The following is a 12,681-nucleotide window of genomic DNA, read 5'->3' on the forward strand; positions in this document are numbered from 1 at the left end:
TCAGTAAATATTCAAAAATAAATTAATCAGTGAATAGAAGACATTCAGTCAGAATATATCTTCATCTGAACTTAGGGGATGCCCAGTTCTACCAGGTAATAATGCCTAAACAATCTCGAAGGAGTAGTTTGTGTTAGATGAAAATGGTTTGGTATTCTAGGATAACAATAGTAACATCAAGCACAAAGGCCCAGAAGTGTGAGAAAATAAGGCTTAGGAGAGCAGTTCTCAGACTTTTTGATTTTAAAATCTTGTAACTCTTAAAAATTATTGAGGACCTCAAGGGGGATTTTTTAAAATGTAGGCTATTATCTATCAATATTTACTACATTAGAATTAAAACTGAGAAATTAAGAAAATATGTAATTTACTTAAAAATAACTATGTTAAATAATACATCTTTCATGAAAAATAACCATATTTTCCAAAAAAAATTGTGAGAAGAATTACTTTATATCAAAGACAGCTAGGTTCTCATACCTTCTTCATTCAATCTGTTGCACTATTTTGTATTAGCTGAAGTGTGGTTTTCATACCTTCTTCATTCAGTCTGTTGCATTATTTTGTATTAGTTGAAGTGTGTAAAGAAGGTCTGACCTCACTCAGATAAGTGGTTGGAAAAGAAAAAAAGCATATTTATTATTATTAACACCAACTTTATCAGAAAGTCTTTAAGTATTGAGAAGCTGTTAAACTCACACAAATAATACAAAATTTGAAATTTTTGCTTGAAAGCTTGAATTTTATCATTGGCAACAAATATTGCTGGTTGTTTTCCTTAAAGCGATGGGCTTGCTTTTTTCATTTTTGAGAAAATGTTGTCCAAATGCCAAGTCTTAATAACCATAGTTATTCAAGGGTGGTGGGTAATTAACTTGCTCAGGATCACATAGCTAGTAAGTGGCAGAGCTAGGTCTAGAGACCAGATCTTTTGATTATATTCTATTATATTGCCCTATGTCTAAATTATTTGGACTTGCCAAACCATGTCTTACAATAATGTATTGTGGTGTTTTTCCTAGAGAGCATGAATGGTTTAAACAAGATTTGCCCAGTTACTTATTTCCTGAAGACCCTTCCTATGATGCTAACGTCATTGATGATGAGGCTGTGAAAGAAGTGTGTGAAAAATTTGAATGTACAGAATCAGAAGTAATGAACAGTTTATATAGTGGTGACCCTCAAGACCAGCTTGCAGTGGCTTATCATCTTATCATTGACAATCGGAGAATAATGAACCAAGCCAGTGAGTTCTACCTCGCCTCTAGTCCTCCATCTGGTTCTTTTATGGATGATAGTGCCATGCATATTCCCCCAGGCCTGAAACCTCATCCAGAAAGGATGCCACCTCTTATAGCAGACAGCCCCAAAGCAAGATGTCCATTGGATGCACTGAATACGACTAAGCCCAAATCTTTAGCTGTGAAAAAAGCCAAGTGGCATCTTGGAATCCGAAGTCAGAGCAAACCGTATGACATTATGGCTGAAGTTTACCGAGCTATGAAGCAGCTGGATTTTGAATGGAAGGTAGGAAATTATAATGTAATAAGATCATTTGTAGAAGCCATTTTTCTATATTATAAGCTGCTCTGAGCTCCTGAGTTGAGTATTAAGCCCAACTTTTTCTAGTAATATGCTATGCACATTAAAAACAAAACAAATAACCTCTATAAGGATGAAAAGTGGTTGATACTGGGAACCAACATATTTTGAATTATAGAAGTGTTCTTGGTCAAGAAAAAAGTAATCAACTAGAAATCATCTGAGAAAATAGCTTACCAGTTTCAGCATGCATCATAGCAATGAAAAATCATGAGTGTCTTCAAAGATAGTATGTTTTTACTTTCTCTTTTTTTTTTTAGGGAGGTTATTTTTCTTTTCTCTTTTTTTTAGGTGACAGAGGCAGGTGGCTGTAATAGCTAGTGGTTGATACAAATTATATCATCAGGACATATTTATTCAGTCAATAAACACTTTTCTCCAAGTTGTGATATTCTCTTTTATTTGGCTAGTGCTTTTAATACTTAGAGTACATTTTCCTTACTCTCAGCCCACAGTTTGCTTTTCTTAAAAATTAGTGCTCAATTTCATTTGAGTTCTATTTGAATATATGTGTGGGGAGGGGCATTTTTTCTTTTCAGATATGCCTTTCACTCTTGTTCTTTTCTTGAGGATTGTGAACTTTTAAAGGAAGAAGAAAAATGTGCAAACTTACCACATAAATATGCATTTGACGTGTTCAAATAAATCAGTCATTTTCATTTTATTATTTGTACATGAAATGAATATTTTCTTAAAATCATTTAAAAAACAGATCTCTCTGTTTTGGAGCAGTCTTATTTAGTTAAAAAAGAGACGTTAACATTTTTAAAATTCTGTACTGAAACATTTTGAAATTAGTACCACAGATGTTTTGAAAACCCAAAGCAGTGTTGTTTTTTTGTTTATTTTTTGTTGTTGTTGTTTGTTTTTTTGAGACAGGGTCTCACTCTGTTGCCCAGGCTGGAGTGCAGTGGCGCGATCTTGGCTCACTGCAACCCAGGGTCAGGCTATCCTCTCACCTCAGCCTCCCTAGTAGCTGGGACTACAGGCGCCTGCCACCACACTCGGCTGATTTTTTTTGTATGTTTTTGTAGAGATGGGGTTTCACCATGTTGCCCAGGCTGGTCTCAAGCTCCAGGGCTCAGGCGGTCCACCCACCTTGGCCTCCCAAAGTGTTGGAATTACAGGCGTGAGCCACTGTGCCTGGTCCTCTTTGTTCCTTCTACTCCATAATCATCCATGAACATGTTCAGGCAGAGACTGGACAACCAAATTAGAATTGATGTTTTAGAGTTGATGCTTATCTAGAGTGAAAGCTGGACCCTATGTAATCTCTGGGTTCTCTTTAAGTTTTTCCTTTATCTTTCACTTTTTTCTTCAGTACCCCAAATTTATTCAAGTAGCTTTTCCTTTAAATCTTAATTGCCATACAGTACTGCTTAGTGGGGATTAAATAAATACTAAAGTGAACTACCAGTAATATAAAAAAATTATTCGTATTCCTTTCCTACCTCACCCCTATTAATTATTTGTTTTGACTTTTTTTGCATAAAAAGGTAGATATTTTGTAGTTTATTATTTTTATTGATTTTTCACTTTAGGTAGTGAATGCATACCATCTTCGTGTAAGAAGAAAAAATCCAGTGACTGGCAATTACGTGAAAATGAGCTTACAACTTTACCTGGTTGATAACAGGAGCTATCTTTTGGACTTTAAAAGCATTGATGGTAAGGAAGCTATGCATGCATGAGCTCTGAGAAGATAAAACTTGGCACTAGTTGACCAGATGTTAAAATCATCTCGAAGACATCCGGTGGGTAGGTCCTGCACTGGTTTTTAAGCAATCTAGACTTAACCAAAATGTAAGTGAAGTGAAAAGGATGAAAGACATGTTGAATACCTCTTACCTGGCATCTTTCCACAAGAAGTATCTCCGTGGCGTAAAAGAATCATTTGAAGTGTTGGCCGTGGAGCACAAGTAAGGAACAACAGGGAAGCAGGTTTTACTTTTCAAAATTAACTGACTTGTCAGATTCTTTGTCATATTTCTCCATTCATATTTTATTAGTTAGTATTATAGTGTCTAAACTTTCTCCTTCATCACCTTTCCTCATCCTGGGTGGCCAGGGCGACCAAATAGGTCTCCATTGGGATTTGGGTTGGATTTAGGTACCCATGGCAATCAAGGAGCCAAAGGCGTCAGGGAAAATTGTCATGTCCAAGAACTTAGTGTGTGCCAAGAATTAAACTTGGGTAAACCAAATCTGATTATTCATTTCAGAGGCCCAAGTGGGATAAAACCAGAATAAACTAAGGGTCAGGTGCTGGATGGAACAAGAATGGAACGGAGTTTAGAGTTAGGGAAGTTGTTTTAAACGAAGCATTTAAATTTTACTCTTGAACTACCATCAACTATGTATGGTAGTGTTTATATGGATCCCAGACCTGTTTCATCGAAATTACATGTTGTTGTTATTAAAACGCAGATCCCTGGGAACCACTCCAGACCTATTAAATCAGAATTTCTGGAGATTGGTCCTGGGAATCGTAGAAAATGCAGTTTTAACAAGATTTCTCTCACTTTGCCCTCCACCTCCCCAAGGCAATATATGATGGTGACTTTTGTTTTTACCTTAGTGATTTTTTTTGTTGATATGCTAGAAGAAAATAAGTTGTCAAGGATATGCTTTCTTCACATGCAGAGATATCAGTTTGATTCCAATATCAATGCCGATTACTCCAATTTGAGCAGGACTTAGGGGCCACATTTTGACTGTGTGCAAGTCTTGTGATTGGTAGCGATGTTTGTTATGATTGTTGGAAGGAAGAAGACTGTGTTTCTACAACACAGAAACATGACATTCATTATTAAGTTGCCCTTGCTCAGATGTGTTTACTTAATATTCTGAATATCATAAATTCATAGGAAGGGCTTGGGCATATATACTTTCCATATAAATTGCTCTTCTTTGGTCCATTTCAGATGAAGTAGTGGAGCAGAGATCTGGTTCCTCAACACCTCAGCGTTCCTGTTCTGCTGCTGGCTTACACAGACCAAGATCAAGTTTTGATTCCACAACTGCAGAGAGCCATTCACTTTCTGGCTCTCTCACTGGCTCTTTGACCGGAAGCACATTGTCTTCAGTTTCACCTCGCCTGGGCAGTCACACCATGGATTTTTTTGAAATGTGTGCCAGTCTGATTACTACTTTAGCCCGTTGATCTGTCTCTAGTTTCTTTCTGTTATTGCACTATGAAAATCAGTTATATTCTTTAAATTTTTATCTTACTTTTGGATAATATCCACTGCAATACTAATTGAGAAACATGAATTATTTCCAGGGGCACACAATGCTATTGAAATTACTGAAAACAAAATATCTGACATCTTATTTACTTGTAGAAATCTGTAATTCTATTGTGCCTATGATAAATTCACATAGGCAATATCTTTAATAGGTTAATATCAATGAAGATTTTTAATTACAATAATGAGTTCACTACAGACGATTAACACACCACACTGGCGAACCATCTCAATGTAAGGGTGGTTTGGCAACACCTCCTTGCTTTGCTGTTTGGTGTAGGTAAATCTAGTTTACTTCCTAAATTTCAGTAGGCTTTATGCTGTGTTTATGCCCCCAATTTATTTTAACAAAAGAAGATTAAAAAGTAAAAGAACCACGAGTAAGATATTATTTAAATGTTGAAATCTTAAAAACCTGCCTCCAAGATTTCAGAAGCCAAGTTTTTCTAACAGTATTTGTACAAATACTGCCTAGTGTATTCAACAGAAGGACTGTGGTCATGTAACAGGTAACCACAATTTTCAGGTTTCTTAAAAACAGCTGTAACTAACTCAGGATTTTTATCTTGAGATTTCCCTGAATAATATATTTATCTTAAGAGCCTTCAAGTTTCAAATTAATATTGGAACATCTGGAATTGCAACAACTTTTGTCTTTTACATAAACTTACGTCATTTAAAAAATGTCTTCAAAATCTACCTTTCTCAAATTCTTTTTGCCTCTATTTATTTTTGCATTTCACCAACAGTGATAAAATAGTTAAATGAAACAAAGCAAAGTATCAACAGTCCCTTAAATGAGAATCCTTATCTTTGATCTTTATTTTCTGTGTTAGGTGTTAGGGTCCTGGTGCAGCTCATAATGCTAATTCTTCATTGGAAGCCACTCCCTTCACCTCACCTCACCTAGTCACTATTGTCTTTGTTCATTGTTTGATCCTGAGTGGTTGATTGATATAGCTTTGAATCTTTTCTAGTCCAAGTTTGAAAACACTGTTCTGGCCCTAAGGGCTGGCTATGACCTTTACTGTTGAACCTGATAGGGCAGGGAAGCTTTGAACATCAAGAAAAAATTTTTATCTTAAATAAATAAATATATATATTCACACACCAGTGCTTTTAAGCAAAAACCAGTTTTTTTGTTTGTTTGTTTTGCTTTGTGCAGGTTTTCTTTAAGATTAAAAAAACACAAACTATAGCAGGGTAGATAATAGTTTATTGATTATATTTTGTTTTAGTAAAAGTATTTAATTTTAAATTCTGTGTAATTTATCTAATTTGTATTTATTCATTTGTTATTTTTATGTTGTAATTAACACTTATTTACCTGGATTACCCTAAAAAAATTAAGCTCTTGAAAACAAAAAAATGACATTACCTTGACAGGCTTCTCTTTGCCAAAAGTAATGTATGTTCTGCCAAGAAGCAAATGAGAATGTTAGACTAAGTTTCTCCTGTGTTAGTGGAAAACAAGTGTGTCTATCTTTAAATATTCTTTGAATCAGGAGTTTGCGTTGTGTCACATCATATGGCTTTGCAGATCTTTTAAAAACTGATGTTAAATAACTTATAAGTCCAACTTCTTAATATCAAGATAAATGAATAGTTCACCAATTTGGGAAGGAGGGCGGGTTGCAATTTGAGATAGTTTAAGGTTTAATTATTGAAAGACTGCCATCTTGTGGCACCAAAAGGTAATTTTTACATGATTATTTGTATAGTGATAAGCAGTCCTGCTGTGTTAGCCTGGTCCATTATAGATATGGCATAGTTTTGGGTTCTCTAAATGGGTCCATACCTCTTTTGGGAAAAAACAGGGCCACCTCATAATATTTGCCTGATTATGAATGGAATTACCTTAGAAATAAGGAACTAATCAGATTACTTAACCCCAATGACAAAATCCACAAAAATTTTGAAGGCAGAGAAACAGAAGGAATCCAGTGATGTTTTAGCTCCATTAGTCTAATAGGTCAGATATTAAAAAATTGTTCATATCAAAATTACCTTATATGGATTATTGCCATGTTTTTTGAGAGTTAATTATTTACTGTTTTCTAATTCTTGCCAGTATTTATGAACAGCTGTAGCTTGATATTTACCTACTGAATTTTAGGAGAACTAATGGTCACAGTTTGGGTTCTTTTATGTGTATGTTTTTAAAACAGCTATTTTGTGAATCTAGGTGGTTGGTTTTTAGAAGATTTCAGGAGATGCAGTCCAGCACAATTAGAGCTGGAACATTGTTACAGCAGGCTTTTTGTTGCTCATGGGCAGATAGAGGGAAAGAATCAGTTGTTAGCCCCAAATTTCCACATTTCAGTGTTGTAAACTCTGAATGTGATAGGTAGATGTGGGCTAAGAATAATTTCCTCCAGTGAAGACACGGGAGAAGAGCTTCTATTATGAGGTTATAGATAAGGCCTTAGTTATATCATGGAAATGGACTCCATGTAGTTCTAGAACTGCATTTCCCAAAGTATATCCTGTGAGATGCTCCACAGAAAAAATGATTGCATGGACTAAGTTTGAAAAATGTTGCATGCTACTCTTCCCCTCGAAGATGACAGTGGATGTCAGCATTAAAGACTTTGACAGGTCTTTCTGTGAAAAAAAGAAAGCCACATAACTTTGTTGAACTTTGCCCAAATTAATTTTTCATTTTAAAAAACTTAATAGCCCATGAAAAGCAAATTTGGGAAATACATTTTTTAGGAAAATACTGTCCCAGAATGCCATAATTAGGGTAGTTAATAATTAACACTTCCATTTCTCTTACTGGTTGTTGGGAGAATCTGATTGAAAATTAGAATTACTTTGTTTTAACTTGCAGACATGTTCATCGTGAGTGAATGCTGGATTAAATAGAATTTTCTGTGTCTGCAACTTGTTTCATGACACCTTGGTTTTCTTAATCATCTTGTATTATTATTTGAGTGCAACATTATTCTTATGCATGGGTGACTGAAAAACCTGAAACAAGATTACTTGTTAAAAAAAAGTCTAAGAGACTAATGACTCATGCTTATGGCTCAGTGGGTAATGAATCAGTGTCACTGATTCTTACTTTTAAAATGTGTAGTCAGTGAACATTTTCTAAATACTTTTCTTTGGGATACCATATGAAGATCTAATTCCTTATGTTTCAGTGTAGGAACAGCTACCTTCTCAAATAGAATATGCAGGGAGGGAAGTAGGCAAACCATTTACAAGTTGGGTTTTTGTTTTGATTAACCTGTTAAGAGACACTTTTGTAATCTCTAGTGTTTACATTCCTTTATACTAGCTATCTATAAAGAGAATCCAGAAGGCTAAATTAATCAGAAATAATTATATTTCTATGTCAGGGTATTGGCTATATGTAGCATGAACAATTCTCCATTTTCTGCAAATGGGTTTTTCAGGACAGTTTTATAATTCTGAGTTTGCTTTTTCTTATTCCCTAGACAGTTTGTACTCAGGGAATACAAATTGATTTTTACTGTTAAATGAGACATAGTTTAGAAAAAATCATAAGCAACTATTGTAGATTTTTGATCTGTTTGGATTTATCTGTAGCATTGAATAATGTGCAGTGTACTGAGTTAATGTAGGCACCTCACTTTGGATTTATAAAATGTAAAAACCTGGAACATGCCTGCCACAGACACCACTTTGTCTATTCACCGGGTACTAATTTACATCCTATTAATGGTTGTAAAAGCTGAGTGTCTAAATGCTAGACATGTTCACAATTTTGTCTGTTTTTGTTTATTTGTTTTTAAGACCCAAACCTTTTCAATCTTGCATTTATTTACTTGGTTCTCCTGTGTCACCCTGTGGCTTTTTAAATAGGGAATGTAATTTATTTTAATAGTAGTTCTCAAAGACTCTATTAAAAACTCTGGACGAGGGATATGTGCAATCTGTTGGTAAGTCACATCCTATGTTTGGCCTCATTTTTATAACTCCTAAAATGAGAAAGGTAGATTTTAACACTTCTAAGGTACCTTTGAGCTTTAAAGTTCTTTTCTGCTTTTCCATATGATTTGTGTTAGTGTTCACTTTTTATATATTTAGAGTTTTTATATGAGTGTGAATGTTTCTGTTTTGATTTGGTGAGGCATGTCAGAGGTATATACTTGAATATTTTTCTAAATACAGCTGCTGGAGGAATGCAAATGGCAAAAATCATCCAGAAAACCAAACACGGTGAAACATCACATCCATTTGGCATGAAGCAAAGCATTACAAATTTGGAGTGATGAAAGTGTTCCATATATTTTTTATAGTGATTTTTCGATCTAGAGACCCTTCATATTGTTTACTTACTATTACGATAACTTTGAGAGGTAACCAGAGAAAGCATTTTTGCCATTTCCAGATGAGGAAGCAGGACCAGAAAGCTCTTCATAAAGCTTTAACACCATACAAGTATCCAGCAGTGATCAATTGCTCTTTATAGGAAACCACCTTTCCTCTGGGGAAGAACAGTCTGAATTAATAAAACATCAGAGTGGTTGAGTAGTAAAAATAAACACAGATGTATTGCTTTCAAGTCTTAGAGTGACATAAAGTAGTCTTAAATAAATAGTTCTTAGTTTATTTTAAGCAGTTGATTGTACTAACGAGATGTAATTATCTGAAGTATTTATGATTAGCATATTGGTTTTTATAAGTATTTCTGAGTTATTGAGGGTGCTTAAAAATGCTGAAGAAACTTTAAAACATGATTCTTCTTATAATTTTATGTGATTCTTATAGCACAATCATTTTTGAAAAAGGAAAACTAGGCTGGGTGTAGTGGCTCATGCCTATAATCCCAGCACTTTGGGAGGCCAAAGTGGGTGGATCACCCGAGTTCAGGAGTTCGAGACCAGTCTGGCCAACATGGTGAAACCTCGTCTCTACTAAAAATACCAAAATTATCCGGTGTGGTGACAGGCTGCTTGTAATCCCAGCTACTCGGGAGGCTGAGGCACGGGAATCTCTTGAACCTGGGAGGCAGAGATTGCAATAAGCCAAGATCATGCCACTGCATGCCAGCCTGGGTGACAGCACAAGACTGTCTCAAAAAAAAACAAAAAAAGGAAAAAGAAAACTAGCCCCAGTCCCTGTCTAAATTGTTATAGTTTTTGACTATTATCTGAATTAGTCTTATCCAAATTTCATATGCAGATTGATTTTTCATTTTGTATGTATATTACATGATATAACTATTTTCATAGAATATATTTCTAATTTACAAACACTGAATTATTAGCTTGATAGAGTTTCTCCCAAACCTTATAAAACTTTGAAATGTACTTATGTTTGAGCTTTAAAAATTATAAAAACTTCATTTAAACAAGTTGCTGGCATCATTACTAGCCTTTCCACCTATAATTATGATGCATTTGATGCCACTGAACAGTAATAGCACAAAGAACAGGTCACACAGTCTAGACTGGATTGAGTTTTAATTAAACTTCTTCATCCATAGCCTGATAAGAATCAGGCTGGGTCTAGAAGAGTTATCAGACTGTAGGCCTGTATTAATTTTGCAAGCTAATGTTAATGTTTACTGCCAGCCTTGCATAGCAATGCCAGTTTGCAGTTGTGACTATGATGTGACTTTTGGTAAAAATGGTTTATATCTAAAGTAGTTTAGATTTTATGGAAGTGGCTCTTGATTGTTTGGACAAGCAGGGTAGGTAAATTTCAATTACGTTTGAAGTGTAATTAAATCCTAGAATAGAGCACTCTCCAGAAAAAAAAATGAAAAAAGAATTTGGAGAATATCCTGGCATGAAAACTTTTTTGAATAATACGTAGAATTTTGACAAGGTTCATACAGTGCATACAGTGTGACCTTTTCTGAGGTGGGCAGGGAGGGTTGCTACGTTGTGTTGATTTAAAATTTCAAGGAGGAACAAAAACATTCTAGCCAAGGAGAATTGCATTGTTATTTTTTTTTCTACTAATTTAAACGTGCATTTTTCACAGTTACACATTTAAGTTTTGCTACCAAAAATGGCCATTTTTCTAGACAGATAACATTTTCCTAAAGTGGAAGAGAGATCCACTGTTCTAAAAAAAAAAAAAAAAAAAAACACTAAATTGTGCCTTCTCCCTTAAATTATAAGAAGAGTAATAGTAAAAACTTGTTTAAACTATATTTTCTTTTTTTCTAATCCCTCTCAGTTCTCCTTAGATCTGCCTCCTACAAATGATCATGTTGTTTGCATCTGCCTGATTGAGTTCCCTTGGTCAAACCTCTCCCTATCACTATCAGAAGTTGTTCACTAAATGTATTTTCCTATTTCTTTCATGTTGATTGACTTTATAAGTCACCTTGGTAAACATAACATTTGGCTACCTTCTCATGCTTTATAAATGAATTTGATGAATGGCAGTTTTTATATTTTAACCCTTTAAAAAGTTTGTCAAGGAAACAACTCAGAGCTAAGAACAAAATCTAACTTGGAATCAGTTTCTTCCTTTGGCTGCTGAAGCAGCAGCAAGTCACGTAACCTCATTTAGTTTTTTGATTTACAAAATGTGGATAATAACCTACCTCACAGATGTGTGTGAGCAACTGTTTGAAAGCCCTTGTTTAAATACAGGGTTTATATCCCCACATTCAATGTAAATTCCTTTTTTTAAAAAAAATAAGTATCTTTGATACTGATAGGATGAGTATCTTGATTTTTAGGTAAGATCACAGTTTCACAAATTGTGGTGTTGTTAGGTGACATTTAATATTTCTTGAGACCTCAAGTATTCAAATATCAAACTTGTCCTGTGTTGTAACAAATATTCAGAATCTCTTAAAATGTTGGCTGAAGCTGCCTTAATGTACCAAAATACAGCTCTCAAGACTGTTCACAAATATCTGTGGTTGTACAATGTTTTGAACATTTAATGTAAAGTTGTTGTAGAACTGTGAACTCTAAGGATAGTATCTTTATTGTTTTAGGAAGAATGGTTGTGTTCTTTGTCATGTATGCTTAAATATACAGTGGATTTTGAATGCAACAAATAAAACTGAAAACAGCCATTTGGTTGTGTCATGACAATCATAATATAGGATATAATATTTACTTTTTTTCAAAAACATCCTGCATTCATTCATTCTTAGCATACCTTTGAAAAAGAAAAAAAAATCCATAGGTTGATACATTGACCCATTGAAGTACTTCATTACGTATTTATTGAAAATTTTTTTTAATTGTTGAAATTGGGACCACTTTTTATAATTGGTTTCAAGAAAAAAAAATGAACAGACTTCCAGTGCTTTTCTGTTCAAATAAACTCCGATTCAAATTTCAGTTTTGTTTGTTATATACTTTTTGTGAGTGTTAAATGATATGGGAAGGATTTGTCTTTCATTAACCATATGGAAAAGATGTCTTCCTGAATTACATAGCATTTCATAGTTACAGATTCTTCCTAATTAATGTTTGCACCATATGAAACTCATAGGTAACAAACACAAAGGAGAAAAGCAGCCTGTCTGATTGCTTATAAGCTTTTTTCACAAAATCAAATTAAAAGTCTCTGATTCATTTGAAAGCTATTTTTGTTTCTGCTCCATCATTATGCTGGTATTCTGCACACCAACTAATAGTTACAGGAAAGTTGTTAGTGGAAAAGATTGCCTATACTCATTGGTGATTTCACACCATCTTTTTTCATTTTTGTCATCTTAGTTGTACATTATAGTTTTTAACTTGAGTTATTGCATTGGTTTTCTACTGTTGCTGTAACAAATTACTACAAACTTAACGACTTAAAATACAAATTATTTTATTGTTCTATATGTTAGAAACCCAGCAGGCTTAGCTGGTTTTTCTGCCTCAAGTCACACAAG

The 12,681-nt window shown here is 34.4% G+C and overlaps 1 protein-coding gene across 2 annotated transcripts in view; it reads left to right on the forward strand.

Annotated features, from left to right (window-relative positions):
• PRKAA2 (protein kinase AMP-activated catalytic subunit alpha 2) overlaps positions 1-12,387 on the forward strand; it is a 70,022-nt gene extending 57,635 nt beyond the window's left edge. For both annotated transcript variants that reach the window (NM_006252.4, XM_017001693.2), the window contains exons 7-9: positions 1,023-1,527; positions 3,144-3,270; positions 4,527-12,387. In NM_006252.4, coding sequence (NP_006243.2) covers positions 1,023-1,527; positions 3,144-3,270; positions 4,527-4,765 — 871 coding nt within the window. In that variant the 3' untranslated portion in view covers positions 4,766-12,387. The remainder of the gene's footprint in view (positions 1-1,022; positions 1,528-3,143; positions 3,271-4,526) is intronic.
• Positions 12,388-12,681: the final 294 nt, after the last annotated feature.

Source organism: Homo sapiens, chromosome 1, assembly GCF_000001405.40.
Source record: "Homo sapiens chromosome 1, GRCh38.p14 Primary Assembly".
NCBI classification, from domain to species: Eukaryota; Metazoa; Chordata; class Mammalia; order Primates; family Hominidae; genus Homo; species Homo sapiens.